At 36.9% G+C, this 15,959-nt stretch overlaps 1 protein-coding gene across 6 annotated transcripts in view; it reads left to right on the forward strand.

Annotated features, from left to right (window-relative positions):
• HNMT (histamine N-methyltransferase) overlaps positions 1,652-15,959 on the forward strand; it is a 51,892-nt gene continuing 37,584 nt past the window's right edge. For 3 of the 6 annotated variants that reach the window (NM_006895.3, XM_017003949.3, NM_001024075.3), the window contains exons 1-2: positions 1,652-1,807; positions 7,344-7,396. In NM_006895.3, coding sequence (NP_008826.1) covers positions 1,671-1,807; positions 7,344-7,396 — 190 coding nt within the window. In that variant the 5' untranslated portion in view covers positions 1,652-1,670. Of the gene's footprint in view, positions 1,808-4,275; positions 4,611-7,343; positions 7,397-15,959 lie in introns of those variants that run through there. The other 3 variants (NM_001024074.3, XM_017003948.2, XM_011511064.3) reach the window with 3 other exon arrangements.

Consider the following 15,959-nt stretch of genomic DNA (forward strand, 5'->3'; position numbering starts at 1 on the left):
ACTCAAATTTCAATGTCCGTGAATAAAGTGACGACTGTTTTTGTCATTTTATATATATATATTTTTTTTGCAGAGGGACTGGCTTGCACTTTTTAAACATTAGTTATATTATTCTCAGTACAACCCTATAAGATAAAATTCATTCCCATTTTACTGATGAGCAAACTGCAGCTTATGTTTCAGCCAAAGTCAGACAGTTCATTAAGGGCAGAGTCATCCATGGCAATCTGCCTGTCCAGATATTACACTTTCCCCCGGGGTAAAAGCACTGGCTCTAAGAATAGTGAGAACAAAACATACTTATAAAAGGGAGTTGGGGGCTGGGAATGGTGGCTCACGCCTGTAATCCCAGCACTTTGGGAGGCCGAGGCGGGTGGATCACTTGAGATCAGGAGTTCGAGATCAGCCTGGCCAACATGGTGAAACCCTGTCTCTACTAAAAGTACAAAAATTAGCCAGGCGTGGTGGCGGGTGCCTGTAATCCCAGTTATTCGGGAGGCTAAGACAGGAGAATCACTTGAGTCCAGGAAGCGGAGGTTGCAGTGAGTGGAGATCGCACCATTGCACTCCAGGCTGGGCGACAGAGCGATACTCTGTCTCAAAAAAAAAAAGAGAGTTGGGAAGTGTTTTGAATGCTTAGAGGGCAGCTTGGGAACTCAATTAGAAGAAGGGACGGTTTAAGCAGACATATTTCTAAGAGACTTATATGAGTTAACTCATTTGATCCTCAGCACTCCTCCATGAGTTGGATGCTATTATTAACAACCCAATATTAGATAAAGGATGACCTTCTTAAAGACCTCTTCCCAGGAAAAAGACTGTGTGTGGGTACTCTGAAGCTTTGGCTCTTCTGGTGGGGACACCACTGGGTTTCCAAAGGCTCATCCAGCCAAGCGAAGTATCTATGACCTCGTCGTGTTCAGCGCGCTTAGGGAAGGATTCTATGGACTGCACTTTTACCCTGGTGTCCTGCATTCTTGCTCCAAGACTTCTCTTACCACTCTCATTCCCCTAAATGCAGCTTCTGACACCTTCTAGCTACGAGTTCTTGGGCTCCTCCTTCGTGACTTCCTTTTAAGATAATTTCTGAGTTACAACAAATCAGCATTTGAAGAAATGCAGCAGATAAGTTGAAAATTCAAGTGCTGAGGAATGTAAAGGCCCAAAACAATCCCGTAGAAAGCACAGAGGCAGATGACAGTCTTCCGTTAAAGATTTCACTGCTGTAGATTTCTGAGAGTGCTGTGTAGCTGTCCTCTTTATCCTGGTGTTTGCCACTTCGAACAGTCACTTTCCCACTTGGAACTTACTTGTGGCTTTGCTGACAAAACAGGAAGTGATTTGAATACAGTTTGTTTTTATGACCTTTCAACCTCAGGAATTTGAAAAGTTTTAGCAGTGGATTTACAGCCTTGCTTAATACTTCTATTTCTTACAAAACAACCGTATAGGGGTTAAAGTATCAGTGCAAAGTCCCGTTCAAATATTGACTCAGTAATGAGCTCTACAAGCCAGCCTTTGTGGCATGTTAAATTCAAAACAAGCTTAGCATTTTTTTTTTTTTTTTTGGATAGAAACTGGTGGGGGTGGGGAAAGAAAGAGGGAACTGGGAAGAGAAGGAGGGGAACTTAAACCTTGCTTCCTGCTCTGTCTTTCTCAGAAAACCAAATATGGCATCTTCCATGAGGAGCTTGTTTTCTGACCACGGGAAATATGTTGAATCTTTCCGGAGGTTTCTCAACCATTCCACGGAACACCAGTGCATGCAGGAATTCATGGACAAGAAGCTGCCAGGCATAATAGGAAGGTAACAAAAGGGACGTTGTTGTCAAAGGGACAAGCCTCAGACTGGCTGTGCGTCAGTGATAGATGGGTCTCGCTCAGCCTCGCAGGCTGGGCACAGGGATAAGGGCGAATTACTGATAGCAGCTCCCCGTCGTCCCCTCCTCGCTGCCCTGCCCTGCCTTTCTCCTGCAGTGCTTTGGTTCCACGTTTGCTTTGAACACTCAAAGGCTCCCATTTGTGTTGTATTTCCAGCTGCATAGAGATAAGCGTTAACCATTTGAAGGCACAAATCCATGTTCATTTGGGAAAAGATAAGATGCTAATCTTCGAACTCAGATTTTTCAGCCCTCCTCCAAATTTTACATCCCAAAAAAGTCCCAAAGGGAGTCTGGTATGCTTTTCATTAGAATCAAATATAAATAATTGCCAAAGTACGATTTGCCCTGAGGATTGAGTGCCTCAGTTCTCATAATATCCATTTAAATTAATTTTCCTTATCCATTGTTATAGTTATCACTCTCTTCCTCAAAATTGTCTTTTTCTTTCAGCTTAATATTAGCAATGTGTTCCTTAAAAAAAGAACCATTTTCCCATTATCAGTGAAACTCACTGGTTCCTATCCTTCTTGCAGAGTTCTTTTTTTTGGGTGATTAATGTGTTCAATTTGTGCCAGAGCTGATAAGCATTATGAGAGTAACAGATTCCACATGCTAAAGATAATCAAATCACCTATCTGGGGGTGATTTGCTGTAACTCATTCTACTTCAGGAAATAATAATGGAAAACTGGGAAGAAATGACTATGGATCCAATTTGCAAACAGCAAAGGAAAGTGGTATTTTATCTTTTGCTGAATTTCTCTATTGCAGGCCTGAAATTCTTTCACCAGGGCAGTACCTATGTCTGACCAGAGCAGGCATTATTAGATGTACATAAAATTTTATTTCCTTTTCTATTTAACATGATTCAGATTTTAAATGTTAGCTTTCAAAAAATAGGATATTATATATTAAAAATTAATATGTAATAGGATAAGGATGCAAACATCAAAGCAAATAGCAAATATAGAGAACTTCTTACCTAGGAACTAATTATAGTTAACCTCTTTGGGTTTCTTTGCTCATTTCTAAAGTTAAAGGTAATGAGTTAATTTCTCAATTCTTTTTCAGTACTAAAAGTATTTGCTCATGTCTGTAGCTTACCAGATCCTTGGTTTTCTTCAGCCATACACAGTTTGGTTTGAAGAGGTACCGTGGATGGAGATAACATAATCGATGATGAATGACCCCTTCCTTATCTTCAAAGTTTAAATCTAACTGGAAATATTATAAAATCTGTGAAAGACTGAAGAATTTTTAAGGGCACACTGTTTGTCTTATAACAGTAGTATATAGTTAGGAATGATCAGATTCAGTGTCATTTATTTTTTTCCTGAAGGTAATGTTTGAAATAAGATTTAGCTGAAGGACTTTTAAAATTGTTACTTAGAGTTGTCTATAAGTTATGAAGTACCAAAATGTGATTAGGATACTCTTTGTGTATGTTAGGGCAGGGTTTGTTGAGTTTGTGGCTCACTGTGCTAATTGAGTGTGGAGCGAGCCTATTAAATTTTTATTAAAGCAAGACATGCCATATTTTAAAACATCAAATGGTTCTAAAGTGTGTGGGGACTATAACAAACCCCACCCACTCCATTCTTGATTCCCACTCTCCGGAAGCAACCACTTTCAGCACTTTGAAATCTTTTAGTTATTTATGGAATTTTCTTTCATAATTCAAAATAACATGTTATTGTTCTATTTCTTCATTTCGCTGTATTAAAATAGCTAAGTAAGCATGCATATTTCCCACCCTATCATGTCACTATATGTAGTCAAAATTTTGGTTAAATAATTTGAGTGTTTATGTTATTTTGCCTATGTACATATTCTTAATAATTGAGCAATATATTCGACTATGCTTATATTTCCTTTTACGTACAACTTTTTGTTCTCCCTAGAGTTGACTATTGCCTTGATTTTGGTTTCTTTTCTTAGTTCTCCATGTACCTATTACTATTTTGATCCCCAAGCAGATATATTAATCTCCTCTCAATATATGCAAACATATCAAGGAATCTGTTTATTTTACCCCAAGGGAACAACTTTTCTGAAGCCCTCTGTTCTTTTTTTCAGTTTAGGAAGATCTGCTTTGGCCTGCTATACAACTATTAAGGAGGGAATTTATTTCACTTTCTGAGAATCATTTTCTTTCTCCATTATTTGATTCCCTGATTCTATATCTCATGCCTTTCTTTTCTTTGTTTCCTCGGTCCTTTGTTTCCTGAACAATTCTTTAAGAACTTTAAGAGTGAACGAGAGGTAAACTTTTTGAGACTTTGTATGTTTAAAAATCCCTTGGTTCTATGTTAATCGTTTGACTGGATATAGAACTCTATACTGAAAATGGTTTTGTATAATAGATCTAAAGGTACTTTTCCACTGTCTTTTAGATACCAGAATTGCTGTTAACAAATAAAATACTGGCCAGATGTGTTGGTTCACGCCTGTAATCCTAGCACTTCGGGAGGCTGAGGCGGGAGGATTACTTGAGCCTAGGAGTTTGAGACCAGCCTGGGCAACATAGCAAGATCCCATCTCTACAAAAAAGTGAAAAAGTTAGCTGAACAAGGCGGCATGCACATGCTACTCCAGACGCTGAAGTGGGAAGATCACTTAAGTCCGAGAGATCGAGGCTTCAGTGAGATATGGCTGAGACACTGCTCTCAGCCTGGATGACAGAGTGAGAACCTGTCTCAAACAAGAGAAAAAAATAAATCAAATGCTACTCAAAATTCTCATCCTTGGCATGTGGAATAACTTTTACATTGCTATGTGTTTTGTTTTCCCTATTTTGAACTTTTTAGAATCTTCTTACGTCTAGTATTCTGAAATTTTAAAATACTGAGCTGTGAAATGGTTCCTTTTTACCCATTTTATGGGTACTCCCTGGGCTATTTCAATTGAGATTCAGATCCTTCAGTTATGCGGAACTTTGGTAATCATTCTTCACCACTGTTTTCTTTTTCTGGAACTTTTATTCATCAAATACTTCCTGGATTGATTACCTAATTTTCTTATATTTCCAGTTTGCTACAACTTTCCTCTTTCAGCCCATGTATTAACTTTTTACTATTATATTTTTAATTTCCAAGAATGTTTTCTATAGCATTCTTTTCATCATTCCCAGATGTAATACCTTCTTATTCATTACAAAATGTTCCTCTGCTCTCTCTGCCTCTTTCCATCTCTGTTTCTTATGTTAGACAGCTCCCCAACCACCTAAAGAGCCTTGGTTTTCTATTCAATCAAATAATGAGGCACTAAAAGGTAGTCAGATTCTCTTTGTGTAAGTCAGGGCAGGGTTTGTTGAGTGAGTAGCTCACTGAATAATTGAGTGTGGACTCAGCTCTTTCCTGGGAGATCCTCAGATATAAAATCATGTTAACTTTATCACTGAGATGATTTGTTTCCCTATAGAGGAATTCTTCAATCCCCTATTTGAGGGTAGATGGTGGGGCAGGGCTTGGGGGCAGGAAAAATTATAGTAAATAACTATAAATAGTAAAGTTGGTTATTGTTGTTGCATATAAAACATTTAAATCCTTGGCTAGAAAATAGTAAGTTTTCAATAATTATTTGATGTCATTATAATATGTGAAATGGGATGAATAATAGTATCTAACTCATAGAGGAATTTCAAGGATTCAAAGAGTTAATTCACATAAATCACTTACATGTACCTAGAATCATAATAATTGCTAATATATGTGGAGTGCTTGTCATGTGCAGATACATTTCTAAGAGATTTGCATGAATTAAATCATTGAATCCTCACAACTTCTCCATGAATTAGAAACAGTTATTAATAATCCTACAAGAGAGATGATATTATTATCTTATTTCACAGAGATGTCAAATAACTTGCTCAAGGTAACATAACAGTAACCTGGGATTTCAACTTGGGTGCTCTGCTTCATAGCCTCCCTATGCTGTCATAGATGTAAGCATTTTAAAGAATGAACAAAAGGTGTAGATAGAAATGGATGTGTTAGGACTCAGGATTATGAGTTGGAGGATAATTAGAATTGAAGAAGGCAAATCATTTATAGGTGTTCTCGACCCTAGACTTTGCAAGATTCCTTTAGAACCTTACTTCAATTTTTGTTCCCATCCTGTGACTGAGCAGGCTTTTTGCACTGTAGACAAAACACAGTTTTGTTTGCCATCCCAAAGTCCAAAGAAACAAACACCATCCTTTTCCCTTCATGGTTCTCCTACAGCAGTCATCTCTTTTCCTTCTCTCTTTCACCCTGTTTCAACAGACTCTAGATCTGCTTCCTCATTTTTGAGCTCAGTTTTAATCCCATTGCCATCTGACTTCAGTCTTCAATCTTCTTTTACAACTGCCATTACTAAAGACACTCGTATTGCCAAATTCGATGGAGATTTTTCCTTTTTTAAGTAGTACACTCTGCTGCTTTTGCCATGACGACGGGCTTTCTCTGCCTCCAATTACTCTGGTACCTCTCTGTGCTTTATTTCTTTTCTTCTCTGTCTTCTTTGTATATTCTTCACAATCCAGTGATCTTTAGAAGTTGGTATTGCATCACCATCCACTACTACTATAACTCTGCAATATCTTTGGGTGATGGAATCTACTTTTCTAGCACTGACCATTACTTTATGATGATGATTCTCCAGAATACATCATTGACCCTGATTTCTCTCCTCCCAGCTTAAATCTTGCAAATCCAAATGTCTGCTGAATTCGTATTTATTTTTTTTAAAAGCCCTGACAAAACATAAGCTTGCTGCCAAACTGTATTTCTCAGCTTCCTTTTTGGCATCACCCTTTGCCCAGTCATCCAAGCCTGAAACAGGGAAGTCACTGTGCATTCATATTTTTTTCTGACCTCTTCACATCAATCTAACAGCAAGTCCTACTGGCTTATTTCCCAATCTGTCCACTCCACTCTATTTCTAGTACCTGAGTCATAATTCGGGCTTTATTATCTCACATTTCATTTTGAGAGCAAAGTGATATCTGTTTTTTTAATGCCTAGGATAGAATACACATAATGCATGTTTAATAAACACTTGTTCATTAAAAGGAAGGTTAAAAAAAGGGGGAGGAAAGAAGGCAAACATTATAGATAGTGGGAACCAGCTGAGCCTTTCCTTTATCTACGATGAGTGGCTTATTATATGACTAGACTCAAAACTCCACTTTTTCTGTTCTTGTTCTCCAAGCCATAACCAAACAAATGGCATTTTGTACCTCTGATATGTACATACTGCCATTTCCAAGTCTCCCAGTTAAAGATTGTTAATGAATAAAACCTATATTTTGAAATATACTCTAAAGATGGCAATATAACTGATATAATTGGGACATTTCATGTTGGCCTAGTTTTCATTCATTGTATTTTTAGTCTGTTCTCTTCAACTAGACTAGATAATCAGATTTCACAAAGCACCTAACACATTTTTCTAAAACTACATAATTTTTTTCTTTCAGGATTGGAGACACAAAATCAGAAATTAAGATTCTAAGCATAGGCGGAGGTGCAGGTATGAGTAATATATTTTTAAAGTTCATATTTCACTTTAACCATTATGCTGTGTGATGACAATATTGTTCATTTTTTAGGAAGACTTTTTTTTTTTGCTTTTGGAAGAGATCGGCTTATTAAAACTAGCAATATTACTTCAACTAACATTAATGCCCCCATAGATTTACAGGGTTTAGGACATTAGCCTTCATTACTATCTCTATTGTGAATAAGTGATGTGACTTGTTCTTTTGATAGATGAAAAATCAAATAGGATAACTTTAAGGATAACTCTTATCCAAAATGATTAAAATACTCACAGAAAAGGAAAATCTCATAATAAGCTTCTTAAGTTTGTGCCATTTAAAACCTTGTTCATGGACTGGTTACTGTTTTCAAACTGTTATTGGTCCATGTGAAGATCTGAAATGTGCACAGGAGGCTGGGCGCGGTGGCTCACGCCTGTAATCCCAGCACTTTGGGAGGCTGAGGGGGGCGGATCACGAGGTCAGGAGATCGAGACCATCCTGGCTAACGCGGTGAAACCCTGTCTCTATTAAAAATACAAAAAATTAGCCAAGCGTGGTGGCAGACGCCTGTAGTCCCAGCTACTCGGGAGGCTGAGGCAGGAGAATGGCGTGAATCCTGGAGGCGGAGCTTGCAGTGAGCCGAGATCGCGCCACTGCACTCCAGCCTGGGTGACAGAGCGAGACTACGTCTCAAAAAAAAAAAAAAAAAGAAAGAAAGAAAGAAAGAAAGAAAGAAAGAAAGAAAAAAGAAATGTGCACTGGAATATAAACTGATGCACAGCTTTTTTCATTGAGAAAGTCTCACCATGGGGAAAAATGTGCTCAGTGACAGAGTTAATTTACATTCTTGTGAACTCATTCTTTGAGTGGCATGGGCCTAATCTGTTCCCTTCCTCTTACTCAGTTCCAAAACTGAATGCTTAGAATTACCTCTAGCATTCAGATAACTCCTAAGCACCTTTTTTTTTTTGACGGATTCTCACTCTGTCGCCCAGGCTGAAATGTGCAGTGGTGCAATCTTGGCTCACTGCAACCTCCACCTCCCGGGTTCAAGCAATTCTCCTCCCTCAGCATCCTGAGTAGCTGGGATTACAGGCACCAACCACCGCACCTGGCTAATTTTTGTATTTTTAATAGAGACGGGGTTTCACCATCTTGTCCAGGCTGGTCTCAAACTCCTGACCTTGTGATCCACTCACCTTGGCCTCCCAAAGTGCTGGGATTACAGGCATGAGTCACATGCCCAGCCCTAAGCATACTTTTATAGGCATTTTATAGTGTCATTACTTTTAGATCCAGTGCTTTCATTCTAGGGGAAAATTTAAAGTCTGGAAAGGTAGATGGACACAGGTAACTCAGCCTCCAGTGAAATTTATGATCTTGGCTAAAACATCAGTAAAATGGGAACAATGAATTTTATCTCATAAGGTTGTAGTGAGAGTGATATAGGTAACATTTACAAAGTGCTTAGGACATTCTTATTGCTCCTGGAGAGTGAAGGCTATTCCCTTCTGCAAAAGTAAAATAAGTTTCATCTCAAGACTTTTCCTAATATCAACTCCTGAACAGTGTTTGCCTTATTTTTAAGTCATCTGGAAGTTTGGGTTAATGCATTAATATATAAAATATGTAGATATATTATTTATATATTTATCTTTAGTTATTTTCTTTTGTCTGAGTGATAGTTCAGTAATGGTTACAACTCGATATCAAGTGGACACTATTGTCACTTGTAACTTAATGCCAAGTGGTAATCCCTTGAACCTCTTAAGTATAAGTGTTCTAGTGCCCCATGAATGAGTTGAACTGTGGCTCATATTAACACAAAGATAACTAAGAGCTCTCTAATGAAATGAGATCACTGATTTTTTGTTTTTGTTTTTTGTTTGTTTTTTGAGATGGAGTCTCGCTCTGTTGCCCAGGCTAGAGTACAGTGGCATGATCTTGGCTCACTGCAACCTCTGCCTCCTGGGTTCAAGCAATTCTCCCTGCCTCAGTCTCCCGAGTAGCTGGGATTACAGGAAACTGCCACCACACCCGTCTAATTTTTGTATTTTTTAGTAGAGAAGGGTTTCACCATGTTGGCCAGGCTAGTCTCGAACTCCTTACCTCAGGTGATTTGTCTGCCTCGGCCTCCCAAAGTGCTGAGATTACAGGCATGAGCCACCATGCCCGACAGAGATCACTAATTGTTAATGTCATTATTTGTTAATTTTTCATGAAATACACTGTGATATAGTGTAATAAGAACTAATCATTAAAATCATTTTACTTTATTATCATCTTTCACCAAGAAAATAGAAACCAACAAAGACAGACAATGAAGGGAATTGTCATGAACAATACCATAGAGGGTATTTAAGCTAAAATACTTTATTATTGGTTATACTTTAAGTCCCCAAAATTATAATAGTTATGAATTGTCTAAAGAATGTCTTATTAATTCATTTAACCAAGACAGTTATTTCCTGTGTGTTTTGGATATGAGTTTCAGGCAACCAACAGGCAATGAGACTATCATTTGATAGTGTCACTTGTGCTTGGACAAGAAGAGAAGGCCTACAAGAAAAAGTAATTAAAAACAATCTCTATCATGGCCAAGTTAATTGACCTTTTAATATAAAGTTAATTGAATTTCTAATGCAAATTTATCCAGATGCTTATAAGCTATCTAGAGAAAGGAACGTTTGGCCTGCACAGTGAGTCCTTACATAAAGGTGCACATGGAAGCTAATACAGAGAACTTAACAAAATAAAGGGAACAACTCTTGGAGTTCTTCTGACTGAGCCCTAATAATGTATTAATAACAAACTCCACCTTGGGGAGAATGTGGGTGCCCTTTAAGGTCACTTTTCATAAGAAATCAATCAGAAATGTAAGAAAAACTCCAAGAAAAATTTAAGTTATATATACTTAGCTTTCACTACCCAACTAAGTTATATGAAATCAAAAGCAATGCATTTAAAATCCCTAGGTCTAGGTGTCTGTTGCTTGAAAGAACAGTGTTTTGAGGGGAAAGGACACTCTACTTCAGTTAGTTTGAGTGCTCATGTAGCAACTGGGAGATGGTTATCTAATCACCTATTATGGCCTGACTACAAGCATCAGGCAGAACAATGCATTACTATACAGCAAGGAACTTTCTATCCTTGCCTTAGAGAAATGGTCTCCCCACATATTCTAAGATCTACAGGGTGCCTGAGAGTTTTGTATTGTCCCATGGCTTGAGTATCCTTCCAAATCATTCATTAAACTCCAGTCCCTAGCAAATGAGGTCATTGATCCTGTTCACTCCTTTGTGCTCAGCTCCTGTAATGTATCTCATAGGGTCCCATTTCTGTCTTAGTTTACAGGTTTTATTACCTCAAGTTTCTTTCCTTGTTTGCACAGATAGATAGGCACATGGCTTTGGTGCAAATATTCTCTAAGCATTCATAATGGTGCTACCACTTCTCCCACCGTGCTTCAAAAACACACAAAAGAAAACCAGCTAAAAGCCTTCCTAGATGAAACTGCTACTTTTATACCACTTAATTCTCATGGTTTTTTTTGGGGGGGGGTGGTCTATTTGATTTTTTTCAGAAACATGAGCAGGGAGGGGATGCACATATGCCCTATCGATTAGCCTCTCCTCTTGAGTCTGGTGTTTGTGTGGAAAGAGTTTTCATAGTTTAAGAGAGATTGTGAGGTTTTTGCAAAGGTGCTTGGCACTTCAGTTTAGATGCGAAGCAATTATTAGGGCTCTGAGAAGTTCAAAAGAAAGGTAGATGACTCTGAGTCATCTACCATATCAATAAATTATAACTGGTAAATAACACTGTTATCCATAGATTACACATTCTAATGTTAGGAAAATGTATGAAATAAATATTATATGAACCCAATAGGAAGAAAGAGAGGAAAACAAACCATGAACAGAAAAACAGACCATGTAGCTTTTACAGAGACCAAACTTGGAAGTGTAAAGTTATGCATGTATGTTCATGTATATGAGTTTGTGTGCTTTAATGAGACAAAATGAGTGGCCAGAATTGCTTTATTCAGGGTCTTGAAGTATTCATGTTGTTAATTTCTGCAATTGTTTTTAGGTTTTGAGAGTAATGCATATATTCTAAATCTCATAGAACATGCTTCTGGGTCCATCAACATTGGTGCTTCCTTAAATTAAACCTCTTGATGGGGGTTTTCATTATTATTCAACCTCTAATGAGTGTTGTCTTCATGCTAGATGGTACGTGGGAAAAAAGAAACCCATATTCTTTTTGGTAAGAGAGAATGCTATTAATTTACAGTGCATATATTTATACCTGAAAACATGTTCCAGAAAGCAGTCACGGCCAATGTGTTCTCCTTGCTCTGGGCTCTGCTTAAAGGATAATCATTTTATCTGTCCCAGTGTTTGGTTCTTATGTTCAAATGCCAGAAAGTTTTTTAAGAGTTAGACAGAGCTGTAACTCAAATAATCACATTTAATCCAGCTTCCTACTTCTATTTTCATTAACCTATTGTATATTAACTCAACCACTATACCATTGCTATACCAATAATTGTATATACATTTATAGATAAATTTTTTAACCCACTCAAGCAACTCATATATGAAATACAGGTGTTATCAACCCTCATAATATTTTTTGTAATAATTTTTCTGACATATGTTGAGACCAGTTTGATGGGTCTCCTGTTCTGCAGCATATAGACACCAGCATTTCTACAGAGGTTAAAACCTAGAAGAAAATTTACAGACCATCAACACTCTCACTTCACAAATAAGAAACCTGGGGACCATCAAGGCAGAAGAAAACCCAGATCTCTTGACTTTAGTCCAGTCCAACAAATTGTACTAAACAGATTTAATAGTTAATTCTTAACCTGGTAAGGGAGAAAGTGTCTGAGACAGCTCTCAATCAATTTAGAGGTTTATTTTACCAAGGTTGAGGATGCAACTGAGAAAAAGAGACCTAGGTTGCAGTAGCATCTGTGATCTGTGCTTTTTCCAAAGAGGTGTTTGAAGGCTTCAATATTTAAAGGGGGAAGAGCAGCAGGAGAGAAGGAGGAAAGAAAAAAATAGGGAGGGTAGGGAGTAAGGTAAGTGGTCACTTTCTTGTGAGGGTTTGATCAGTACTCACTGAATCCACATGTTATATGTAAAAGGAGGGGGGCCACATGGAGAAATAGTGGCCTTCTGTCATTGCACCTATCTGTTTAGGTACAAAAGGGAAGGCAGTTTTTGTGTGACCCAGTTCTCAAGTGTAACTCTTCCTTTTAACATAGTGAGTTTGGAGTCCCAGGATTTTATTTTCCTTTCACAGGAGAGATTAGGTACTTAGCAATGACTAGCTATTTGAAAATCTAACCTTATCAGATTATTAACCTTGTCTCCTTTCATAAATAACATGTTAAGGTAACACAGAAGCTTAATACTTTAAGCTGATTGGATGGCAGTAGAATGAATGTAATTCAAGTAGGAACTGGAAGATCCAGTGTGTCAGGTTTAGAAACTAGGAGGTGGCAGGAAGCAAAGGTTAATGTTTACCAATGATCCATAGTAAGCCAACAGTACAGATCAACAAACTTAAAATGTGTGAGAAAATACAGGGAATTGAGGTATTTTTTGCTTGGAAAAAAGAATTTGATTGTGCTTATTGCCATTTTCGTATATTTTCTGATGGGCAAACAATAGAATATTTGCCCTCAAAGCGCCAATGGTTGAAAGCTTCAGAGAGTGATTTCTTGGCTCAGTGTAAGAGCCTGTTGGCTGGGCCTGGTGGCTCACGCCTGTAATCCCAGTACTTTGGGAGGCCAACTGGGGCCGATCACCTGAGGTCAGGAGTTTGAGACCAGCCTGGCCAACATAGTGAAACCCGGCTTTTCTAAAAACACAAAAATTAGCTGGGCATGGTGGCACACACCTGCAATCCCAGCTACTCGGGAGGCTGATGCAGGAGAATCTCTTGAACCTGGGAGGAGGAGGTTGCAGTGAGCCGAGATCGGGCCATTGCACTCCAGCCTGGGGGACAGAGCAAGACTCCATCTCAAAAAAACAAAAAACAAAAAAAAAAAAACCTGTCTATAAATAGAAAATAACTTCCACTCCTTGGGAGATAAAAAGTCATTCTAGTGGTGTCAGCACAGGTTGGAGAAATACTTTACAGATATGTTATGGAAGGGACTTAGGCACTGATTTTCTTGTGTGTTTGGGCCATCAAACGTGCTTTCAGTCTTGAAATCTTGTTTTATGAGTCACCTTCTAGAAAAGAGGTAGGAATATTTTTCGGAGTAGTGTGGCTATTACCATGTTTGCTGTATTGAGGAAGCGGTATTCTAATGGGGTTTCTAGACCTGCAGACAACTTTGGGAATGGATTTTAATTGCTTATAACTAAAAATGAGTAAAAACTAGTACTTATATGCAGCATCATAGCAGTTAACTCCTTTACCAGAAGGATATAGATTATAATCATAAACTAATCTACAAGATTTAGAACTACTTTACATAAACACAGTTATAGTTTGGGGCATCATTTTATTAAAGGCATTTGTTAAATATATGATTAAAAAATAAAGTATTCTTCATAAATAATTTTACCAAAATAGCTTACCCCATTGTATTGTATTTAAAACTTTCAGTGAGCATTGAGCTATTGTTAAAGACAGATAAGTTACAGATTCAAGAGAAGGGAGCATAGTGTTAGAACACTGGAGTGATTGTCATTAAAAGCAGAGTAAACAAGATTGTTTTGGCTAATTCAATAAGGTTAGAAACAGCAAAACAAGGGATAATGAACCAAGTGAGGACAAAACTATCATTGCAGATTAAATGACTGTATACTTACAAAAGCAAATAAACTTAGTTCTAAAGCCTTATAATTAATAAGAATGCAGCAATGGGCTTAAACAGGTAAAATAGAAAAAAAGCAGTATGTTAGGTTCTTATTTTGTTTTGTTGTTGTTAACGTTTGAGTGTTTTCCATTCCCAATTTTGATTATTTACAATCTACATAAAAGTCCATGGCATGTGTTTATCTGTAATTTTGCTGAAGGGCAAATTTGTATCTTGCCAGTTTTTGTGCCATTTTGGTCTGCAATCTCTTAATCAGTGAATAAGTTTCCTCCTGACAGTCATGCTGTATAAAACTTTGCAATTTAATATACACAGTCATGCAACTCTGGTGTAGGTGACTTGTTGTTATCTTCATTTTATAGATAGTGAACCTAATAATATATGCCTGAAGGGGATTGGGGGGGTTGCAGGGATTGAGATCAATTCCTTGGGTCTCCTTCAGCTTGATCTCTATTAACAATAACAATCTGAGAGAAACGACGAAAAAATATTTGGTTAATTAGCTAATAATATATTTTATTCAAAATATAAAAAATTTAAAGAAAAGTTCAAATGTTTGCTAAGAATAATTCAAAAAGACTTAAAAAGCTAATAACATATAATACTGATGAGGTTACAGTGATATGGAAGTTTTCATGTGCAAAAGGTAAAGGTATGAAATTAAAATTTCCCTGAAAGTAATTTGGCATTATATAGCAAGAACAGTTCTGATTTTCATCTAATATGCCCTGGCCTGGCCCTGCTGGTTGTTAAAAATATTGAAATTCTTGATAAACAGCTACTCTTCTTCCATATTATCACAGCCCCAGATACTGCTTCAGTGCTTTCTCCTGGATATCCCACCTTGCCTCCCCACCCCCCATCTCCAGGGCTCCAGCAATTGGCCTGGCCTTGCCAGTCCAGGAGGGCTGCTAGGACTGTGCTACAGTTCCTCAGCCTGCATCCTTTCTGAGCACCTGCCACCCTTGGACTTGAGCTTTTTGTGGTGGTTGTTATTGTTGTTTATCACTGTTTTTAAAAATATCATCAGAGATCAAGAGTCTTATTCCAATCATTAATTCCCATTATGGAAATTAACTTAAAAAAGTAAGATTTTTGCACAAAAATTTATGGCTCATTTTCAGTCTCCTCACAATACCAAAATATCTAAAACTATATATGAGACCAACGATAGTGAATTTTAAGTATATTTATATACGTATATATTAACTATACTACAGTTATGTATGTATATATTAACTGTAATATAATATTACATAATTATATAATATATGATTATATAATATAGTATTATACAATACATATGATTATATAATATAGTATTATACAATACATATGATTATATAATATAGTATTATATACAATACATATGATTAGATAATATAGTATTATACAATACATATGATTAGATAATATAGTATTATACAATACATATGATTATATAATATAGTATTATACAATACATATGATTAGATAATATAGTATTATACAATACATATGACTAGATAATATAGTATTATACAATACATATGATATAATATAGTATTATACAATACATATGATTAGATAATATAGTATTATACAATACATATGATTAGATAATATAGTATTATACAATACATATGATTAGATAATATAGTATTATACAATACATATGATTATATAATATAGTATTATACAATACATATGATTATATAATATAGTATTAT

The sequence above is a fragment of the Homo sapiens genome, chromosome 2, assembly GCF_000001405.40.
Source record: "Homo sapiens chromosome 2, GRCh38.p14 Primary Assembly".
Lineage (NCBI taxonomy): Eukaryota > Metazoa > Chordata > Mammalia > Primates > Hominidae > Homo > Homo sapiens.